Raw genomic sequence first — 24,259 nt, 5'->3', positions numbered from 1 at the left:
TATCAGGAGATCCTGTTGTTCCCATTTATGGATTAGGATGCTGAGATTTAGAGATATAGTAAGCAAATTGTTCACTCCCACAAATTAGAGATAGTGTCAGAGCTGGAATTTGAAGCCAAGTCTTCTGGCCCCAGAACACCTCCTCTTTGCCACTCTATTTTGTTATCCCTCCAAGCCTACAGAAGTGAAAGGAAGAGTTCTGCCACCATCCTGGATCTCATGCACAAATATGCTGTGTTCTTCATCCACCTTAGGGCCTGGGCTGTGTTATTTCACCACTTATGGAAATGAAAATGTACCAAACCAACTATTACTGCTGCACAGTGGCCTGTCTTTGGGAAGGAGAAAGTTTTTTGAATATGAGGAATACAATGTTTGGTCACAGAACCAAGCAAAACCAAATGTGCTGGCGCAGCAGTGTTAATTCTGACTAATCAAACAAATAAGGCATAAACTAGAGGAGGAATACAGAAAGCAATAGCATGTAATTTCAGGTTGAATGGATTTTTAACACCAAACTCTGATTGTCAGGTGTATTCTATTCTTTTTTTTTTAATGTTGGGCATATTTTTAGTATAAATTTGAGAAGAGATTACAAAATGTTAAAAAATAAGTGTTTTTCACAGGCTATCGAGACTCATTTGATCCGCAAGTCTAGCAGCGGACTAACTTATATCGCAGAGTGGAAAGGGGGCCTCCTGGAGCACAAGATGGGCCACCTGACCTGCTTCGCGGGGGGCATGTTCGCACTCGGGGCTGATGCAGCTCCCGAAGGCATGGCCCAACACTACCTTGAACTCGGGGCTGAAATTGCCCGTACTTGTCATGAATCATATAATCGAACATGTGAGTACATGTTATTCTTCATTTATGGTCTATTCCCACATGCTTTGATTTAATGCAGTTTTGTCATTGCTGCCCTCAAAAGACTATCCGCTCTGCCTATGAAGCTTGATGATCGTGATTAATGTCTCAAAGGAATGTATATTTTATTTTAAAAGGCAATGCTTTTCTTCCTAAAAATATCTACCTTTAGTTTACCAAGAAACAAAAATCCAGGCCATAAAGAGTTAAAGCCAGCCTAATTTACTGACTTCTGCTTTTGCCAATAACATTGGGCAAGGGTCTCTATCTCCCTGCAAAGAGAAACTTAGCATTTTATTAACCATTATTAATCTTCTCCACATCCCCCATGAAACAGATCATGAATCCCACTCCCTTCTTATAAAATAGGAATTTGAAACACAAAGTGTAAATAACTGGCCTTCTGTTACGAAATTACTTAGGATTGTCAACCACTAAGTTTCTGGCTAACTCAAATGGTATTTCATGGTGCCTTGTATCTGCCTGGTGGGTGCTCAGTAAATGGGGGTTAAATGAAAAAAATAAATTGTTAATATTTTCTAAAATGGACTCTTTTCAATGACTAAATTGTTTAAGTATATGAATATTATATATTACATGATGTTTATAACTCGTTTTTAAAATGACTACTTTGACATTTCTCTTCAGTGTTGTTAAAGTACAGTCAGACCTTCGTATCCCTGGGTTCCACAACTGCAGATCAGAAATGTTCCCAAAAAATGGATGGTTCTGTCTGTAGTGAACATTTATAGAGTTTTTGTTCTTATCTTTATTCCCTAAACAATACAGTATAACACCTAGTTACATAACATTTACACTGTATTAAGTAGTATAAGTAAACAAGGTGATTTAAAGTATATGGGAGGATGTACCCAGGTTGTATGCGAATACTTTGCCATTTTATATAAGGGACTCAAGGATCCATGGATTTTGTTATCCTCGGAGGGTCCTGGAACCAGTCCCTCATAGATACTGAGGGATGACTGTACTTTCTAGTTTCATTTAAGTTATTGACTGTAAGCACTGTCCAGGAAAATAACCCTTATTCATTCATTCCATGTCCTTTAGTTATGAAACTGGGACCAGAAGCTTTCAGATTTGATGGTGGTGTTGAAGCCATCGCTACAAGACAAAATGAAAAATACTACATCTTACGGCCAGAAGTTATGGAGACTTACATGTATATGTGGAGACTGACTCATGATCCAAAGTACAGGAAATGGGCCTGGGAAGCCGTAGAGGTGATGTTTTAATTTGCATGTTTCTTATAGATAAATTTCATAGTAAAAAATGTTCAGTGATACCCATAAATCAGGCTTATCAACTTTTCTATAATTTTTAATGCTTCGACCAGGATTTTTTCCACCCAGGACTGTGTATTTTCATTGAAGTCATTTTATATCCCTGGCTTCAGCTTTGCTTTGTATAACATTGATATAGATATATCTACTGATAGACTTAGATATTGAAGGAGATAACTAGAAAGGCATAGTCTAAAATTAAGTTCCCATTAATACAAAAATGATGATCTCTTAATTCCACCTAAGGGTTGTTGGCAGCTTGGGGTATTCACCTCTATTTCAATAAACCACTTCATGTTTTTTTCTGTCTTTGGGCTTTAAAATGCTAGTATATGCTTTTACTTAGAGTAAATAGCTACTTAGATCTAACTTTTAGAAAGCACTTATAGAAGAATTACTTTGTATAAGGATATTCCTTTACCAGTCTCAGGTTTCTTGGAATATCTATAAGCTTTCCATCTGCCCAGTGTGTTGTTTTGTCTGTCACCTCTTGGGTCTCTTCCTGCTGAGGATAGTATACCTCCTTCCTAAACCAATCTAGTGAATGCTTTGTGTGCCGAATGCCTGAGGAGGCAACCTGCAGGATATGCATCTAACAATGTCTGTCTAATTGTAAGAGTTATTATTCCTCAAGGAGTGGGAGGGAATTCAGGGGATAAGAACAAGCAAATTCTTTAATTACACTCTCATTCTCTAGCACTCTTTGTTAGAAAGTTAGCTATCTTTAAAAACTGTCCATGAGGAATGACTTCTCTCAGGAAATCTAAAATGAATATTGCCTTTGGTAAAATTTAACTAATATCTTAGGAAGCCATCGGTGAATCTTGCTTATTATCCTCTTCATTTAATATGTGTCTTATCATTAATCATCAGTCATTTTAAATAACAGCAATTCTCTAGGCCTCTTTGAGGGGGCAGTTTTATTACATTTAATCAGTAGTCATTGTAATTTCTTTACATTTCTGTTTTTTTCCTCTGGAGAAAATGTTAAAGTTGAAGCTTTTCTAAACTTTGGTGATAGGGAATTGTTTTGGTCTTCAATTGGCCAGCAAATGAATTGAATATTTTAAGTTGAAAATATCAGGAATGGTGTGTTCCATCAAATCTAAAACACCATAATTAGTAAGAAGCATCATTATTTTATATACCACTAAGAAAAATAACACTACCAATTAAGTTATGACATCCATTTTATAGATGTTAGAATGTACAAAATGTATGGCCGAGAAGGTATCAAAAATGGGAAGTAAGCAAATTCGTATTGCCAGGTAGACAGGATGCTTTGGTTTGCTGTGTTCTTCAGGGGGTTGCTTGTTTATGAGATCATAAGGTTGGTTTATGTGTTATGATTTTTATTTCTTGTCAACTCTTTAACATAATATATGACCTGAAATCGTTTCCCTGTGTCACAACACTGAGGTCTCAATTTTGGGGATGCCCCCAGTAACCTCTGCTAGAACCTGAGCTATAGTGGTGAGCCAGGAGTGCTGTAGGGTCTTGCATTTTTTAAACCAGAAAAACTGGGACTTCGAAGGCATGGCCGCACGTTTTTCCCCTGGTGTTATGCCCACCCCCGTGGCCTCCTGTGTTTCAGCAGCAGCCCCGCATATGCTTGCAGCTCCCACCTCCAGCACTTGGCTGTTCTGATGCATACTTGAGACCACAGCTGGAAACCATGTCAGGAAAAGAAGGTGGAAGAGCTTTTCCCTAGCCAGCTGGCTGTGGTCTGGGAAGTGCTGGGGAGTTAATGGCTGTCAACCAAGGAGGTTTTGGAGTTGGTGGATAACTGTCCCAGTCTTCTTTCCTTCAAGAATCATTCTGGAATGCATGCTACATGGTTCTTCAGAGGGTTTCTAGCAGGAGTGAGCCTCGTTGCACACAGTTGAACAATATGATTCATTGGCTCTTCTGTCCCTGTTTTGCTTTTCCCACTTGCCCACTTCCTGATGTCACCTCCCTGATAGACTTCCTGCATCCTGCGTCCAACCCTTGTCTCATGCTTTATTTTTAAGGGAACGCAAACTGAAACATAGGGGGTCTTAAAAATCACCTCATCCAGCTTTCCGCTTAAAGACAAGACTCCCCTCCATATCTTTGCAAGATAGCTGTTCCTCATCAACCCAAGGACTTTCCAGCAAAGGGGAATGTATCACCTAATAAAGTAACTCATTCCAATTGGTAATATTGAAGGTGTTAGAAAGTTATTTATTTTGAAGCCACAATTTACAGTGTTCTGTGCTCTGGGGGTACCAGAGGGAAAAAATCTCCCTTCTGCATTTCAGCTCCTCAATTATCCGAAGACAGCAGGTTCTGCCATCTCTTCCTTTCCTCATCCATCATTTCCCTTGATTTTCTTCTCCTGACCTGGTTTCCAGCTGTGGTCTTTTAGGGCTGAATAGTGTGAACCTCTCTTCTCTCTTCGCAGTGTGATTTTTTCACAGCTTATGGTCCAACTTGTTCTTTTAGTAGATTTATATTTAAAAAAAAAAAAAAAAAAAAACTGGGAGGCCAAAGTGGGTGGATCATGATCATGGTCAGGAGATCGAGACCATCCTGGCTAACACGGTGAAACCCCGTCTCTACTAAAAGTACAAAAAAAAATTAACCAGGCGTGGTGGCGGGCGCCTGTAGTCCCAGCTACTCAGGAGGCTGAGGCAGGAGAATGGCATGAACCCAGGAGGCGGAGCTTGCAATGAGCCGAGATCACGCCACTGCACTCGAACCTGAGGGACAGAGCAAGACTCCAACTCCAAAAAAATAAAGAAAAACTGGCTTATATTGAAATTATGGTCAGTGTTAGCTTCTCCATTTGCTACCGTTGAGTCACATCTCCTTTGCACTGTGCTTTTTCACCCATACTTTCAGTTTGTAAAGTATTTGTAAGCCGTCTTCCTATCTTCTAACAAAGCACTCCCTTCCCAGCCTTCTTTCACTGATACACTTGAGAAACCTGCTTTCTGTGTCTTAATTAAATTTCTAATAATAATGTCAAATAAGATGTGAAAAGGTATATAATCCAGCAGTACAACACTAGAGAGTTCTTTTGTGGGTTAACAGCACTCCATTAATCACAGGTGTTCAAGCACTTGTGAGTCTGCCTGACAGAAATAATATTTAACTGATAATTTCTTTTGCTTTTTCTCAAAAATGTCATGAAAGCCAGGCGTGGTGGCTCAAGCCTGTAATCCCAGCATGTTGGGAGGCCGAGGTGGGAGGATGGCTCAAGGATAGGAGTTTGAGATCAGCCTGGGCAACAAGTCATCACCCTGTCTTTACAAAATTTAAAAATTAGCCCGTCATGCTGGCACACTCCTATAGTCCCTAGCTACTCAAGAGGCTGAAGAGGGAGGATCACTTGAGCCCAGGAGTTCAAGGTTATTTTGAGCTAAGATCACACCGCTGCACGCCAGCCTGAGCAACAGAGCGAGACTCTCTTGAAAATTTTAAAAAAAAAAATCATGAGAAACTGACAAATTCCTTCCATTTAAACATCTGATAACTTACAGCATGAGCTTTATCAGAATATTGTATGTATATATTCACATAGATTATATAATGTCTCAGCTGATCTATGGTAAAGGGTAAAGCCTTACCTAGGGATTTGGGATTTTTTTTTGGCTTTAGGGGGTTTTTTTTTGGTAGTTTCAGGTTTTTTGGTTTTGTTTTTTTGCACAGACATTTTCTTTGCTCTTCTAAACCTAACCTTTTCCACTCAGACATTTCGACTCTCAGGAAGTGACTTCTTTTCCTCCTTCCTACTCCTGCCTCCTCAGGCTTCATCCTGTTTCCAAACCCTCTTTGATTTGTTCAAGGTGCCTGATTCTCTGTGTTCTATCCTTGAGTTCAGACGACACTCAAGCAGACAGCCTTACTCCACGGATCAGCCATTTATATATCTGGTAGGCAAGAGAATACTCTTCTGTCCTCTGACTTAGGATTTAACTCATGATGCTTGCTATTTTCTTACCTACCCTTCATCCTTTGTTTAGAGCTCCAATCATTATAAACATTCTCATATCCTGTTCTCTGCTATTTGCACATCCCAGTCACATAGGATCACTAATAATAGAAGCATTTACTCAAAACCAAGGTGGTCCCCATGCCTAGAGGCTGAGAATCCCAAGAACAGATTATAGTACAATGATGATCTGGTTAGACTTAGTCATACAAACACATGACAGCTTCCACTGTTGAGATGCTGATAGAATCAGGGCTGTTGTAAGGGCCCAGGAAAGCTATTTGTCCCCAGCTTCACGTTCCTAAAGTCTTAAAATCTAGACTTTTGCGTAAGGGGTGAGGGGGAGTTCTTGGGTGCTTTTCCTTTAAAAAAAAATTTTTTTTTTTTAATTTACCAAAAACTTCAAAAGCAAAGTGACTGGGCCTCTCTAAACCTCTGAAGCCCTTGTTATTGTCTAAGCATTTCTTCATTTTGTTTTATTCTCACGTACAACCCCATGTTGAGAAGGAAGATGCTGCCTGGGACATGGAACCTCTGGGGCCACTGATAAGGGGGTCTCAAGCTGGAAGTTGGCCCACTACTCAAAATTTTTGGCTGTGTTCTTGAATACTATAGCTTACCCCAAGAGGACTTGTGGGGAACAAGAATGAGAGGGTGAACTAGAAAGAAAGGTGATTAGGCATTGTCCACCCCAAAAGCAACTCCTCTAACAAAAGAAGGAGCTTAGAGCAGTTTCCATGGAGAGGAGGAGTGGCTGTTTATCATGGCTGGCCCTCTCATTAGCTCATTACCAAAAAACCTCAAGGGAACAACTAAGAAAAGGTTTTGGGATTAAAATCTGTTTAAAGAAATATCCGGAAATAGGGTTTCCCATAAAAACCTTGCCCATTTTTTCTAAATTCTGATTTTTTTCCTTTTTTTAACCAATAATTTTTGGCTTATTCTACATATCTGGTATTTGACTCTTTGTCAAAAAAAAAGGAGGAAAGAAAAAATAATAGGACTTGAAAGTTTCTTTCTTCATGCTCATCCTCCATTTGACGCACTGTCTGGAACTTAGAATTTAATCGAAGCATCTGTTTTTAAGTTGATCGGTCTTATTTTCTTCGGGGCTTTTTAAAAGTATGAAATCATGAGGCATTTTCTTTATTTTCTTTATTCATGTGGCCTGCTGGCCAGAATTTCTTTAACCAGGTAATTAAATGCTTCTCCTCATAGTCTCTCTGCTCTCTCCCTTCTGTCCTCCAGCCCTGATGTGAAAAATCAATAACCTCATTATCAGTATCTGCAGATGGGAGCTGAGCTCTCAGTGCAACATCTCTGCTCATGAGAATCCGTGGCTGGTACTTACTTTCCCTCGCCTCTTTTCTGGGCTCTACATTCTTAGAGCCTTATTTTCCTCCAAAATCCTTTCTAGCCAGAGAAGGTTTTTCTCAACTGATAAGGCAAAGTCTATGCTTTCCATCTTCTTGGTAGTTGGATTAAATGGGAGAAAAATGGGGTACAATTATATATGTAAAAAAAAAAGAGGGACAGAATTATGATCCACAGGGGAAAACTGAAACGTAAGTGAAAAATGACATGAGAAACTAAGAGTAAGTATATCTTGTTTACATTTTCTTTATTTCACTATAAAATATATTAGGGTTTTAGTCTTAAACTTTATTATTTTTGTCTACAGTCAATAAATGAGAACCAGATTGCAGATGGCAATTTTTGTACGATGGAAATTTTTATTTGACCATATAATTAATAGGATTAGTAGGATGTGATGGCAGAAAATAACTTTCCTAGAGATGAATATGCCTGGTAACTAGCAGAGCAACAAATGTAATTTCAAAATATAAACAGCACAAAAAAAAAAACAACTCAAAATGAATTAAAGACTTAAATGTAAGACCTGAAACCATAAAACTCCTAGGAGAAAACAACAGGGGAAAAGCTCCTTGACATTGAGCTTGGCAATGATTTTTTGGATTCGACCCAAAAACACAGGCAACAAAAGCAAACATAAACACATGAAACTACATCAAACTAAAAAGTTTCCTTACAGCAAAGGAAACAATCAACTAAAAACACAACAAAAATGTGTGCAAACCATATATCTGATAAGGGGTTAATATCCAAAATATATAAGGAACTTACAATTCAGTAGCAGAAAAACAACCTGATTTCAAAATAGGCAAAGGACCTGAAGAGACATTTTTCCAAAGAAGACGTACAGATGGCCAGTAGTGAAAAGATGCTCAACATCACAAATCATCAGGGAAATGCAGATTAGAACCACAGTGAGATATCACCTCATACCTTTTTAAATGGCTATTATCAAAAATTCAAGAGGTAATCAGTCTTAGTGAGGATGCAGAATAAAGGGAACCTTTGTACACTGTTGGTGGCAATGAAAATTGATATAGCCATTATGGAAAACAGTATGGAGGTTTCTCAAAAAATTAAAAATAGAGCTACCATATGATCCAGCAATCCTAATTCTTGGTGTATATCCACAGAAGATGATGTGTATCCACATCAGAAGATGATGTATATCCACCACAGAAGATGGTGTATATCCACAGAAGTAGTGTATATCAAAACATCACACTGTACACCTTCCAGTATATACTATTTGTATTTGTCATACATCGGTAAAGCTGGAAAAAGGTTAAAGAAAAATAGAAACAAACAAAAGAAAGAAAGTGGGCTCTGAAAGGGAAAAAGAAAACACAAACAGCAGCCATCTTAGTGGTAACCAACAAAGTGGAAGGCAGGTTGGTTTAGGTTGTTACCTAAATGTTCATCCTCACACTGCCCAACCCATCTGTTTTCCAAATATTCATTAAATTCAGACAACTACAGAAATGTAGGATCATTTCTCTCTAGAGAGTTGTCAGTGGAGTCATCCCATCTTCTTCCATACTAGACTGAAAAAAAAAAAAAACATGTATTTTAGGAATAGATCCCAGCCACATGTCTCTCACTGTCTTTCATTTTCTTCTTTTAGCTCTGTTACCAATATCACTGATGAGTACCCTACAATCAATTTTCAGAAACTCAGATACTCTGATTATAGAAGCAGCTGATTTTGTTCCAGTACGGTTTCTCAACCAGTGGTTTATGATCCCAGTTGACATTAGCAGTCTCTCCAAACTAGGGGTCAGCAAACTCTTTCTGTTAAGGGCCAGACAATATCAGGCTTGGGGGACAGCCAGCTAGTCTCTTTTGCATCTACTTAGCTCTGTCATTGTAGTACAAAAACAGCCACAGACAATATTTAAACAACATGGCTGTGGTTTAATAAAAGTTTATTTACAAAAATAAACAGTGGACTGGATTTAGCCTATAGTTCATACTTTGCTAAACCCTGCTCCAGACCATAGGGGGAATTGGTAAAAATCAGTGAAAAATTTTTCCAAAACTAAAGGCAGAAGTGTTTCAAATTAGGTAAGATATGTGGTCCATATGTTCTATGACTTCATTTTTAATTTACATTTAGTTTATGGTTTTAATTTTTTTTTACCTAAAACTCTATAACAAACTTTCATTTAATTTGAATCCAATTTGTAAAAAATAAATTTTGACTGGGCACAGTGGCTCATGGCTGTAATCCCAACTCTTTGGGAGGCCGAGGCAAGCAGATCGCTTGAGCCCAGGAGTTTGAGACAACCATGGGCAACATGGCAAAACCCTATCTCTACAAAAAATACAAAAAATTAGCCAGGCATGGTGGCGAATGCCTGTGGTCCCAGCTACTTGGGAGGCTGAGGCAGGAGAATCACCTGAGCCCAAGAGGTAGAAGCTGCAGTGACCCATGATGGTGCCACTGTACTCCGCCCAGGCAACAGAGTGAGGCCCTGTCTCAAAAAAAAAAAATGTTTTATCTGAACTTGACAATCTAATAATAAAAATTAGTGACAATCAGTTTACTGAAATGTGACTTTTTTTTTTCCTCCTCTATAATTTAGGCCTTGGAAAACCATTGCAGAGTGAATGGAGGCTATTCAGGCCTAAGGGATGTTTACCTTCTTCATGAGAGTTATGATGATGTGCAGCAGAGTTTCTTCCTGGCAGAGACATTGAAGTAGGTGAAAATTATTCTAAAACCATGTGGCTAAGGTACCTGAACAGATCTTTGTAGATGTCTTTATCATGAACACATTCAAGTAATATCAAGTATGCCTGATTCAGAATATCAGGCATGGCTATAATTGCAGGTATATTCTCAATAACTAGGTTCAGTGACTTGGTACTGCTAACACCAAAGCACTGAGTAGCTGCTTTACCCCATGTTAATGAGTATAACCCCTCAGGGTTTTGATATATTTGACTCTTGTCCATGTTTCTTGGTAAGATGAATGCAGACATTGATGTGGTTTTTGCTGTGTGTTTGTGGTTTCACTGCCTGCCTAGTGTCTTGGGCCTCATATACTTATGTTTCTCTCACCAGATATTTGTACCTAATATTTTCTGACGACGATCTTCTTCCACTGGAGCATTGGATCTTCAATAGCGAGGCACATCTTCTCCCTATCCTCCCTAAAGATAAAAAGGAAGTTGAAATCAGAGAGGAATAAAAAGACATTTTATATTTTATTCTGCTCCATTCCCTTCACTGTATACCTTAATAATTCCTTTTCTGGTAATCAGGCACATGATGAACTTTGATTAGTAGGTCTGTGATTAAGTTCTTAAATTGTTTTGCAGTCTTTTATGTTTATTATCATAGGTATAGGTGGACCTAAATTCCTTATCATATCCTTTATTAATTCAGCCAGTGTATCCACCAGTTTTTTGTTTATGTTTTTAAGTAACCTATTATCTCTGGATTTCATGAAGGTGTAATATCGTTTTTGTTAAACTGAATAGAATTGTATAGCGATGACCTCTTAATTATAATTTGATTTGACTGCAAAACTTTTTCCTCCTCTAAGAGGAGATGATGTCTGCTTTAAGCTGTAATGTTTTGCCATGTTGCAAAAAGCCATAATAATAAGTATAAAAAAGCTTTTTCCTTTACAATTTCATGTTAATCTGGTTTGTCTGTCCACCAGAGACAGATCTTCTGTGACAGCCTCCTTATGCAGGTCTATCATTATTTGATAGAATGTCTTCTAAAATACTTCACTCACATTGTAATTCAAATTAGAAAGTCATTCCAAAAGGATCATGTCATGTTGACCTCATTTCATCGGAACTGCAGTATATTTTTGTTGGTTAATTATATTAGTGTTTTCTATTTTGTAAATGTGTCCTTTAATTTTACTTTAAATGCCCTGTGTCATTTCTGGATTATATACTAGTTAATTTCTTCCATTCCCCACTACACAGAGAGGTGAGCTTTCAAATTTTGCAGAGCTCTGCTATCACTGAATTACATTTATCTGAAGAAAATAGTACAACTTAATGGATTAGCTTTTGGGTTTAACTGAATATATGAAGAAATTGGGTCTGTCTAAAGAGAGGGTATTTCATATGGCTTTTAGTTCACTTGTTTGTATTTCATCTTGATTTTTTTCTTTGGAAAATAAAGCATTCTATTTGGTTCAGATTTCTCAGATTTGAAAAAGGCTCTATCTCAGATGTAGTAAATTATTTCCTTTCAGTTTGTGAAAGCAGGATTTGACTCTGAAAGAAGCTTTGCCAATTTTACTTATTCGTGATCAATCAAGGAAAATCTAATAAATTTTAGGCCAAATAAGAATATAGCATATTTAGTATGGTTATAGTCAACACAGAGATCACAACTTAGAAGAAATATAAAGAAATGGCCACTCCCCATCCCCCACAGTCCTGGAGTAAATCAAAATCAATATATGATTCTTTTAAACATTAAGTTTGAAATAGGAATGGTTTTCTCAAGAATAGATTTGGTGTGATACCTTGTGTTTGCTTACATTGGCCCACTATATATACATATATATTTATGTAGATATACTTCCATGAAAGGGCTAATACGATGCATATACTGAAGGGCAAGGACTTTGACCATGTCAATTTTCAGCCGAGAATGGTCAGAAAGATCAGTACAACCCCATGGATTAGGCTGAAACATATGAAATTGCTGCATTTGTAGTTTAAAAACTGTCAGCAGTTTCATATGGTTCCACCTAATATTATTGAAGACAATTATTTTCTTAGCTATCAATAGGCTTAATAGTTTTAGTTATTTTAGCTTTTGAAAGTGTTTTAAAAGATTTCCTTTATCGGACAGGACCATCTTTATGACCTGCTTTCTGTTTTTCAATATCATACATTGGTGTATGTCAAAGAATAAATTAGTAAAATTAGTAAATGAAAAAGACTCTTCCGTACATCATTATTTCCATGCTAATGTGTGTCTGTGATCCAGAATAACTTCTCCCACTCATATCTTCAGTTCACCTAATGAAATGAATGGATAGCAAGAGCCCTTTGTTCCCAGGACTTTAAGGCAAAATATTAAAAATTATTGCCAAAATTAAGAATATAATGTTTGTATAAATGTCCTTGAATTTGCCATTTAAATTAACTCATTTTCTTTTCACTTTGATTTGAAAGCTGATAAGTATTTCTGCAGCAGATAGAATATTAAAATCAGGTTGTGTGTACACACTGCACTATGAGGTACCTTGGTGTCCTGGTGTGAATAGACAAGAAGCTGTACTATATGTTGCTCTCTCAGTGGCAACAATGAAGTTTTTGCAATTCTAGAACTTGGATTTTTTTTTAACAAAAGTCCCAAAACACCAAAAATGTAAACAAGATAAGAGATTAATATTGTAGTGATGTAATTTAATTAAAGTTATATTTTGGGTTAATTTTAACAACTGAAGTCTTATTGTTGAAACTTATTTTCAACAAAACTGTGCAGTTAAATTTGTATACGTATTCACATACTGAAAGATGAACCGTTAAAATAGCACTTAATTTTGTGTTTCTTCAATATGTCTTGATATACTTTGTGCAATTAATATTACACATGTAAGTTGTATGGCAGTTTACAGAACTCAATGACTTGTCATGAGGTTTTCATATGAGCTACACATTGTGTACATTGATTGTTTTTTATTTTTACATAAATCCATTCTGTCATTTTCAACTTTATATATAAATCTCCAATGTTATGGGAAACAATAGATTGACACATAATTTTTAAAAATTATATTTGTAAAATTTCTCTATTGTGAATAAAGTCTTTTAATATATCTCCTCATTTGTTATATTTTTCTCCTTTTTAGTAGGCTTTTGTATATCTAAGGGGTGAGTGCCTTCAGTTGCAAATAAAAATATTTGATCCTAACAGCATTTCCATACCACACCTGTAGGGTCTTGACAAGGAAATATTTCCCATTAAGAAACTTTACATTGCACATAATTTTGCATATACAGTGTTTGGGTAATCAAATAACCTTTATTAACGATCTAACATATGTTCAACACCAGGACACAGAGGCTAGAAGCTTTGATGTCAGAAATAGCACAAACTATGTTCTTTGTTCATAAATTTGCAATGCAGCTAAGAAAATGAGATTAACCCCACACCACCCCTCAAAACAAGACAAAAATAGCATTTAGTTGTGTTAAATTACAAGCTAAAATTCTATATAAGTTCATGGGAACAGGAGGTCCATAGCGTTTGAGTGGTCAAAGAGGCTTAATAGAAAAAGGAGAACTTATGCTATAGAAGATCCTCCGAAATTTTTCAAAAAGCCCAGGTTCTAAGTTCTTCAAATTCGTACTGTACTTTTTAGAATATTTCAGATATTTTGGTTGCTGTTGCCACTGCCTGGAACTTGCTTTCCCTAATATTTTTATAGCTCATTCTTTATCAGGTCTCTGCACAATTGTCACCTCATTAGAATGGCTTCTTTGACAAATCAGTGTAAAATTCTCTCCACCTTTTGTCCCCTACCCTATTTTATTTTCTGCTTAGCATTTGCTGTATTACATATTTATTTCCTTATTTATGTCTTTCTAACCCCTTAGTATGAAACCCCATGAGAAAAGAAACTTCAACTGGCATTTTCCCCCATTTCTCTGTCTAGTGCCAAGAGTATAGTTCACAATTGAGTGAGAAAGTGCATGAATTAGGAAACTCGATCTTATATTCATAGTCTTTGCTACAACTATTTGCAAATGTCTTTCACTGAGCAATACACTTTTAAAAAAAATATTAAAGTACATGTTTGTGACTAGAATCAACTCTCAATCAACAGGTTATTTTTAATCCACTTACATCATGTAAAATAAAGTAAGGCATGACTCCTCCAATAGTTTTCAGTATTCAACAGCCCATTATTGTTTTATGTGACTTAATGTCACAGTCCCTGCCACATATGTTAAACAAAAAACAAAAAACGATTACAACAGCACCAAAGAAATTAGCTTATTACCTAACAGAGTCAAATGGGAACCTTCTGAATTAAATTATGGTAGCACAAATTGATGTTGGTTGTGTTCATGTTGTTGGTTACAGAATTATTAAAATTTATTCTAAGCATGGTGTTTATGTATACTATCAGCCATCAACACAGAGATGGCAGCTTGGCAACAAATACATCTAATGACTGATAATGATATGTAGATGGTTGCTTGAAAAGTTTTTCAAAGTTAACAAGATAAAATCTTTTTCATTTGAACATAGAGTTCATATATAATTGCCATTCGAGGCTCCCTACCTTGTGACTGAAGAGTGAGGGCAGGAAGGGGAGTCTTAGGAAACTTTTTAACTGATTTTATGGCCTGAAGCCTCCTTTCTATTTTTTCCAGGCTCATTCCATCCTCCACACTAGCCAATACATGAGTCACAGTTTTCAAGAAATATTTGCCAGGCATCAGATACATATTTAAAGTATTGGAATTACAGGGGAATGTAGACAGCATTTAGTCCAACTCTCATTTTAAATATGAGGAAATGGGGATTTTCCCAGCAACAGGAACTGTTTTTCTATCCTTCCTCTGTGCTGCCAGACACAGGAATATGGTAAGATTTCATGCTAATCCTAAAAATACAAAAAAATTAGCCGGGCATGGTGGCGCATGCCTGTAATCCCAGTTACTTGGGAGGCTGAGACAAAACAATCACTTGAACTCGGGAGGCAGAGGTTGCAGTGAGCCAAGAACGCACTACTGCACTCCAGCCTGAGCGACAGAGCCAGACTCCACCTCAAAAAAAAAAAAAAAGGCCATATATGAGAGCATATGTTATTTCCAACCAGCCACTCCAAAATAAAGGTATAATTTCAGAGTTCACCCTTAGGAATTGGTCTACTGCTGTGTTTCTTTCTCCAGATGTGGGCTACAGTTTACCTAATCTGAATCTCAGCTAAGGTTTGTTAAAATGCAGATTTCAAAGCCTTCCCCCAAATTTAACAAATCAAAATTGCGATGGGGTCCTGGAATACCCATGTTTAGCCCTTTGTGTTATTCCTACACACACTAAAGTTGAAAACAACAATTTTAAGTTCTAGGTAAATGGAAATTCCAAGACTATCAGAACAATTAATGAGTTAATTAGCGAATCATGACAAGAATATGTACCTTTTCCTGCATTTTTGTCTCTACCTCAAGGTTTAAGTACAATTTGACATAACTTTGGTCACTTTGAAAACACAGATTCTTCCTTTTCTACAAAAGCATTAGTCTGCAATAAGCCATACACCTAAATCTTTTAGAAACAGATTTACACTAGATTCTTATACATAATTCTTTCTTATTAGGGGAATCTCAAAAGTATTAACTACAATCATGCTTGTTTTTATTCAGCAATTGTTTCATTGGCTTTCTTTTCCCAATAACTGCATTTTTAAGTCATTTTTCAAATTGTTTCTACTGTTCTTGTTGATTTTAACATGAGTGTCACTTGCACAGACTACACGGAATTTCTAGTTTGGCTATATATCATGTAAATGTATAAAACGTTCTTGGAAATGACCTCTGAAAAATACCTTCATTTCCCCCGCCCGCGTTTTTACATTCATTGCTATGCTAATTGTCAAAGATTTGTTGGCTTGCCATTATTATGATTACTTTGAGTCCCCTTAAAACATGCCATTACCGACAGAATAAATTAAATGTGTATCACAGATCCATTTAATTCCCCAGTGAATGCAAATTACCGTGAAACGTTAGAAAACAGTGATAGATGTATAGTTTCTAAAAACTTTTACACATACTGGGATATTTTGGCCTTAGGCTACAAGCACTTACTAATTCACAATTCTGCAAACAGGGTCATAAAATGTACTGCTTTTCAAACAGTATTTTCCAAAATCATTGGCACCTGAGAGATTTTTGTTTTGTTTTGTTTTGTTTAACTCTCCTAGGAGAAACAAATGAATGATTCCCATTCACAAAATCTTTGGGAACTTTATTCCTGACTTTCCAACTCTTGGCATTCTCTGTGGAAAATAGAAACACAATCACCTCGCTGAACCAGGATGGGAGGTTCCATTACAACTTCTTGAGGGAGGCACGATGCTATTGGTTCCCTTTCATGTATGTGACAGCTTTGGCTTGTTATGACCCAAGGCTCTCTATTTAATAAGTGACTGAAGGAGAAGCAAACTAAATCTCTTCCTTCCTGTGCAAAACCTCTTTACCACTCTGCCTTTCAATACTGCACTTCACTGGTTAAATAAACCTCACTGGTTAAATAAACCCTAAGTGCCTCTCAGCTATCCACATTCCGTCTCTATCTTGCTTTTGTCAAATTGATAACTTTGTGACTTATATAATCATGGCAGGGAGTTGCAAAAATATATTTTTAATGCCCCCATTAAAATACATTAAGCCTAAGTCTCTTTTCTGTATACGACGCAGTATACAGAAGGGGTAGAAAGTAGGTGCAGTGGACCAATGGGAAGCTGACCTCACTAAGAATCCAGACAAGGGTTCCTAACCTTAGCTGGTGTCATTAACTCCCTGCGTGATTTGGAACAAGCACTTACTCTTCACATCTCCCTTTCCTTAATCTGTAAAATAAGAGGAGTGATCAGCCCAGGCCTAACAGCTAGGCTGTGCATTGCATGACATCTCTTGTGGATACCTGAGCAAGAAACAGCAGTACACATGCCTAGAATATTTCCATGCATAGACTAGAGACCACCACACCCAAATTATAAGACATCAAAACCTTAGTGTTCTCATCCATAAAATGGGAGGGATCATATCTACTTTCCAGAGAATTAAAAAACTAATATATGTAAAAGGTCTTAGCTCATGCCTTCAATCCATGAGTTCCAGCCCCTTCTTTCAGCTTTTGCATTCTATAAAATAATCATCTTTCCTCTACCTTGGGAAGCCTCCAGCTTGTTTTGTTATGACAACACATTTGTTATTATTTTACTTGCCGTTTCCAATAACCCTAGGCTTTTTTGGATGCCTTCCTTCAATCAGACTGCTTCAAACACATGTTATTACTCATCTTCTAAGGTCAAAGTTCAGCTCTTTTCTGACATGAGAAGACAGAAATAGCCAGCTCTTTTTCTTCACACCTGCATCATGAACTAATTGGACATTTTTCCACTTATTTTTTTGTTAGCGAGCCAATAGAGTTTTATTTTTTGGTTTGTGGGGTTTTTTTAGCATTTGTAGAAGAAATGGGGATCAAGCTGCATGGTTGTTGCACTATTATCAATTGTGTTATTTGTGTATTCAAACAATCCAATGAAAATAAGACAGTGTCTACAACAGCTAAGAACTCCTTCTAGATTGAAAGTCAGTTTTATTTTCAACCCACAGTAGCTTTGGAAACCAACAAAATCAATTTTATGAACTAGGAAGGCTTACTGAAATAACTCTTCTGAAAGAACCAGCATTGCTTCCAAAATCAGCTTATATGTTTGAAAATTACTTACAGTGACTTAAAACTGATCACTTTCAAAGAAAAATGTAAAGGTGATTTTGATTGAGAGTCTACTTACCTATTCCCCCCCAACAAAAACAAAACAAACAAACAAAAAAAGCTCTTGGTTTCTGTAGCAGTGGAGATGTAAATTATATGCAACTAACACTTACCTTTTCTTCTGGCACTCCCCACACAAGAATAAGGCTGTTAGCTTCTGAAGAGAGGCTAACACTGTTGAACAAAGTACCCATAGTCCACTTCCTTCCCCCCATATGCCTCACTCCTGCTGGCCTTCACTTTTCTGTATTATCCCTGAAAAGGCCTTCCTGGTCTACCTCCTTCCACTTCTTGGAAAATGTCTATTCCTCCTTTTGAGTCTCAATTTATATGTCTGTGACCAGTCTGCTTCTCATTCCAATTTGTTCTTGCTTCTTATGGGACTCCAAAGGACTTTGTGCAAACTCCTATTCATGTGTCACACTATATTGTCATTACTGGTTTTCATTCATTCATTCATTCCACAAATATTTCTTAAGTAACCAGAATATTTCAGATACTGTCATAGGTCCTGGGGAATTTAGCAGTAAGCAAATTAGACTTGCTTCTTGCAAGTCTTGACTAGGAAAAAAGGCAAGTATGCAAAAAATAGAATTTTTAAAATTTAAAAAGGAGGGCATCATGGCTTATTTGCTAATATAAATACTGGATTTGATATAGCATCTGGAACACATTTGTTTTCAACCCAAGTTTACCCTTCCATTCTTCACATAGGAGGCACTCAGTGAACATTTGGTGAAGAGTGAACAAATTGTTAAGAAATGAAGAAAAAGTGAGTCTCAAACTCCTGTTCAAAAACATCCACGATTTTCATCTTAAGTTTGCCTGCAACAGAACACAGCCCTGCTAAGCCCTACTAACTCAAAGTGATACTTCTATCTACAAAGTTGAATACAGATTCTATTTTTAGTGAAAAATCTGGTGTTTACCTTAACTGTGAGACACCTAAGTATAAGCTGCCATTAGAAAAATTGCATCACTACAATTTCAAAACAAACTTACCAAAAGTAGGATGGTTTTCTCATATTTTAGTATGTTCAAAATATACCAACTGTCTTAGGGAAAACCCACAAGAGTCCAAGCTATATTCTTTCCTTGTCATTGCTTGTGAACTATTCACTATCCTTGAGATCAACAGACATATCAGATATTCTCAATTCCGCTAGAGTTTGTCTTGTTTGTTTTTGGTTTGAGGGTAGGGGAGTCAGGGGATGTTTTTGTTTGTTTGTTTGTTTGTTTGTTTGAGCCATTATCGATGCCTAAATTGGCATGCCCACACATCCAGGGCTGGCTTCTTCTGTTCAATGGAACACTTGAAGAGCACTGTGAGTGATGTAAATAATAAAGAACTTCTCTGTAGTGACTGCAACCTTTCTGTAATCCTCTCTAGTAATAGGACCAAGGATTCTAGGGCTAAAGCAAATCCATTAATAATTGTATTGCTACATTTTTTTCAAATAAGTTCACTTTGTTGTTCCAAGCTGACTTTTCTTCAACCATTCTAACAGAAACGAAATGATTGATTACGATTTCGCCATCATCCACCTTATCTTCTTATCTCTACCTCCAGAGGAGGTGCTGACATAATGATCAAAGAACAGAGAGGGAGAAAAACAAAGGATCTCAGAGAGATTAATCAGTCCCTGAAAATCTGAAAGTGACTTTTGTCACCATTATAAACCAATATACAGGATTTCTTTAAACACTAGATTTTAAAAAAACCATATAGTATGTCAAAGCCACAATTAAAAAGAATTTTAACAAGCTCTTGAATTTATTTTGCTGCTTTAAAAAATATACGATAGATTGCTTTCTTCTTTTTGGTCCTCTTCAAACAATGATGATTGCATTAAGGGGAAGTTTCAAAATTTCCACATTGTGTATCTGCGCTTTTAACCTCTCCCAAAGATTAGATAAAGACTGCCAAACCAAAAAAGCATTCTTGGCTCACGTACACAGCTCATTCTTTAAATAGAAGTTTCAGCACGTCCAGGCAAAGACTTCTAAAGATTCTTTATCTATTGATTAACTGTAGAGGATATTCTGCTTAAAACGAATCTTAAATACTCTCTAAAATAAATGTTTTATTCTACATTAGGGTAAAAGGTGTAAAGGGAAAAATGAGACATTGCTACTCCTCTCCCATCCTACAAATATATGTTACATTTTTGCCTGCAATATTTCTATAAAAAGTTGGAAGTAGGAAAATAATCCACTTGGCAATGAAATTGTATTTCTCCTCCTGAGATGGATATTCAAGAACTACTACTCCAAGAATTACTACTCCAAGTAATTCCAAGTAGATATCCAAGAATTAATACTCCACTGGGCAGAGGTCACTTGGTGACTCCCCCGGTACACAGGAGAAACTCCCTTGAGACCACTGGCTAAACTATTGATGGACCCCACATCTCAAATGGGGTCAGAAAAACCCCCTTCCTTTTTCTGTGACTCTGATGGTTAAGAATATACCAATATACCTAGATAGAACCCTGAGAAGCAGGCAGCATATAGTGAAGAGATTAAGGTGAGGATCCCTCCCGTGTTCTTTTTTTTTTTTTTTTTTTTTAACTTTCAGTTCCGGGATACATGTACAGAACATGCAGGCTTGTTATATAGGTATACATGTGCCATGGTGGTTTGCTGCACCTATCAACCCATTATCTAGATTTTAAGCCCCACATGCATTAGGTATTTGTTCTAGTGCCCTCCTTCCCCTCACCTCTTACCCCACCACCCCCTGACAGGCCCTGGTGTGTGATGTTCCCATCCCTGTGTCCATGTGTTCTCATTGTTCAATTCCCACTTAGTGAGAACATGTGGTGTTTGGTTTTCTATTCCTCTGTTAGTTTGCTGAGGATGATGGTTTCCAGTTCCATCCATGTCCCTGCAAAGGACATGAACTCATCCTTTTTATGGCTGCATAGTATTCCGTGGTGTATATGTACCACATTTTCTTTATCCAGTCTGTCATTGATGGGCATTTGCGTGGGTTCCATGGCTTTGCTATTGTAAGTAGTGCTGTAGTAAACATATATGTGCATGTGTCTTTATAGTATGATTTATATTCCTTTGGGTATATGCCCAGTAATAGGACTGCTGGGTCAAATGGTATTTCTGGTTCTAGATCCTTGAGGAATTGCCACACTGTCTTCGACAATGGTTGAACTTATTTACATTCCCACCAACAGTATAAAAGCATTCCTATTTCTCCACAGCCGTGCCAGCATCTATTGTTTCTTGACTGTTTTTTTGTGTGTGTTTGTTCATTTGTTTGTTTGTTTTTTGAGACAGAGTCTCGCTCTTGTCACCCAGGCTGGAGTGCAGTGGCACAATCTCGGCTCACTGCAACCTCCATCTCTCGGGTTCAAGCAATTCTCCTCCCTCCGCCTCCTGGGTAGCTGGGATTACAGGCACCCGCCGCCACTCCTGGCTAATTTTTGTACTTTTAGTAGAGACGAGGTTTTACCATGTTGGCCAAGTGGGTCTCGAACACCTGACCTCAGATGATCCACCTTCCTTGACCTCCCAAAGTGGTGGGATTACAAGCATGAGCCGCTGCACCCAGCCAATTTCTTGACTTTTTAATAATCACCATTCTGACTAGTGTGAGATGGTATCTCATTGTGGTTTAGATTGGCATTTTTCTGACGATCGGTGATGTTGAGATTTTTTTCATGTTTATTGTCCACATAAATTTCTTCTTTTGAGAAGTGTCTGTTCATGTCCTTTTCCCAATTTTTGATGGGTTTTTTTTCTTGTAAATTTGTTTAAGTTCCTTATAGATTCTGGATATTAGCCCTTTGTAAGATGGGTAGATTGCAAAAAATTTTCTCCCATTCTGTAGGTTGCCTGTTCACTCTGATGATAGTTTCTTTTGCTGTGAAGAAGCTCCTTAGTTTAATTAGATCCCATTTGTCAATTTTGGCTTTCGTTACCATTGCTTTTAGTGTTTTACACATGAAGTATTTGCCCATGCCTATGTCCTGAATGGTATTACCTAGGCTTTCTTCTAGGGTCTTTATGGTTTTGGGTTTTACATTTAAGTCTTTAATCCATCTCGAGTTAATTTTTGTATAAGGTGTAAGAAAGGGGTCAAGTTTCAGTTTTCTGCATATGGCTAGCCAGTTTTCCCAGCACCATTTATTAAGTAGGGAACCCCTTCCTCATTGCTTGTTTTTGTCAGGTTTGTCAAAGATCAGATGGTTGTAGATGTGTGGTGTTATTTCTGAGGCCTCTGTTCTATTCCATTGGTCTATATGTATGTTTTGGTACCAGTACCATGCTGTTATATGTCTGTTTTGGTACTAGTACCATGCTGTTATGGTTACTGTACCCTTGTAGTATAGTTTGAAGTCAGGTAGCATGATGCCTCCTGCTTTGTTCTTTTTGCTTAGGATTGTCTTGGCTCTATGGGCTCCTTTTTGGTTCCATATGAAATTTAAAGTAGTTTTTTCTAATTCTGTGAAGAATGTCAATGGTAGTTTGGGAATAGCATTGAATCTATAAATTACTTTCAGCAGTATGGCCATTTTCACAATATTGATTCTTCCTATCCATGAGGATAGAATGTTTTTCCATTTGTTTGTGTCCTCTCTTATTTCCTTGAGCAGTGGTTTGTAGTTCTCCTTGTAGAGTCCTTAACATCCCTTGTAAGTTGTATTTCTAGGTATTTAATTATCTTTGTAGCAATTGTGAATGAGAATTCACTCATGATTTGGCTCTCTGCTTGTCTATTCTTCATGTATAGGAATGCCTGTAATTTTTGCACATTGATTTTGTATCCTGAGACTTTGCTGAAGTTGCTTATCAGCTTACGGAGTACTTGGGCTGAGATGATGGGGTTTTCTAAATATACAATCATGTCATCTGCAAACAGAGACAATTTGACTTCCTCTATTCCTATTTGAATTCCCTTTATTTCTTTCTCTTGCCTGATTGCTCTGGTCAAAACTTCTAATACTATGTTGAATAGGAGTGGTGAGAGAGGGCATCCTTGTCTTGTGCCGGTTTTCAAAGGGAATGCTTCCAGCTTTTGCCCATTCAGTATGATATTGGCTACAGGTTTATAATAAATAGCTCTTATTATTTTGAGATTTGTTCCATCCATACCTAGTTTATTGAGAGTTTTTAACATGAAGGGCTGTTGAATTTTATCAAAGGCTTTTTCTGCATCTATGGAAATAATCATGTGGTTTTTGTCATTGGTTCTGTTTATGTGATGGATTACATTTATTAATTCGTGTATATTGAACCAGCCTTGCATCCCAGGGATGAAACTGACCTGATCGTGATGGATAAGCTTTTTGATGTGCTGCTGGATTCGGTTGGCCAGTATTTTATTGAGGATTTTCACATCCATGTTCATCAGGCATATTGGCCTGAAATTTTCTTTTTTTGTTGTGTCTCTGCCAGGTTTTGGTATTGGGATGATGCTGGCCTCATAAAACGAATTAGAGAGGAGTCCCTCCTTTTCAATTGTTTGGAATACTTTCAGAAAGAATGGTACCAGCTCTTCTTTGTACCTCTTGTAGAATTCAGCTGCGAATTCGTCTGGTCTTGGGCATTTTTTGGTGGTAGGCTATTAATTACTGCCTCAATTTCAGAACTTGTTATTGGTCTATTCAGGGATTCGACTTCTTCCTGGTTTAGTCCTGCCTCCCATGTTCTTTCATAATCATTATCTTTGACATTACAAGTGGTGTTATCAGCCAGGAAAACAGAAAATACTCTATCTCAAAAAGAAGAAATTTAACACAGGGAATTGGTTATACCTGTGATGAGAGAGCTGAGAAGCCTCACAAAGGATGATGAATTCTGATGACAATACTGAAATTAACAACAGCAGGATGCTTCTATCTGGGGTAGGAGATGGAAAGACACAATGTGGAGGTGATGTCACCACAGACCAGAAATAGGAAGCAGAGCATGAACTATTAATAGATATGCAATGGAGGGCTTCCCAGCAGAAAGTGAGATGACAGAGAGAAGCAGTAGTCCAATAGGAGGCACAATATGAAGGAGATGTAGCAATTGCCAGAGACATCACTAGAAGCACAGTGAACAGAAGACATATCCTGGGGTCCCCTTCCTTCCAATCTTTTGCCAGTGCCTCCCATTGGTCAAGACTATCAAGAAAACAGGACAAGGAAGTCTGAAAAATAGAGTTCCCTGAGATGCAGGGCCAACCTGAGGAAGTTTGGGAAATAGAGATGAGAGAAAACAGTTAAATGACTGGCAAAAGTGACTATAGCCTAG

General features: G+C 37.4%; 1 protein-coding gene across 3 annotated transcripts in view; it reads left to right on the top strand.

Annotated features, from left to right (window-relative positions):
- Positions 1-13,305, top strand: part of MAN1A1 (mannosidase alpha class 1A member 1) — a 173,401-nt gene extending 160,096 nt beyond the window's left edge. For all 3 annotated transcript variants that reach the window (XM_005266986.5, NM_005907.4, XM_011535833.3), the window contains 4 exons: positions 627-846; positions 1,933-2,105; positions 10,083-10,198; positions 10,565-13,305. In XM_005266986.5, coding sequence (XP_005267043.1) covers positions 627-846; positions 1,933-2,105; positions 10,083-10,198; positions 10,565-10,691 — 636 coding nt within the window. In that variant the 3' untranslated portion in view covers positions 10,692-13,305. The remainder of the gene's footprint in view (positions 1-626; positions 847-1,932; positions 2,106-10,082; positions 10,199-10,564) is intronic.
- Positions 13,306-24,259: the final 10,954 nt, after the last annotated feature.

The sequence above is a fragment of the Homo sapiens genome, chromosome 6 (assembly GCF_000001405.40).
Source record: "Homo sapiens chromosome 6, GRCh38.p14 Primary Assembly".
Lineage (NCBI taxonomy): Eukaryota > Metazoa > Chordata > Mammalia > Primates > Hominidae > Homo > Homo sapiens.
Note: the sequence above shows the minus strand (reverse complement) of the source record. Positions and strands in the feature narration are given on the sequence as shown.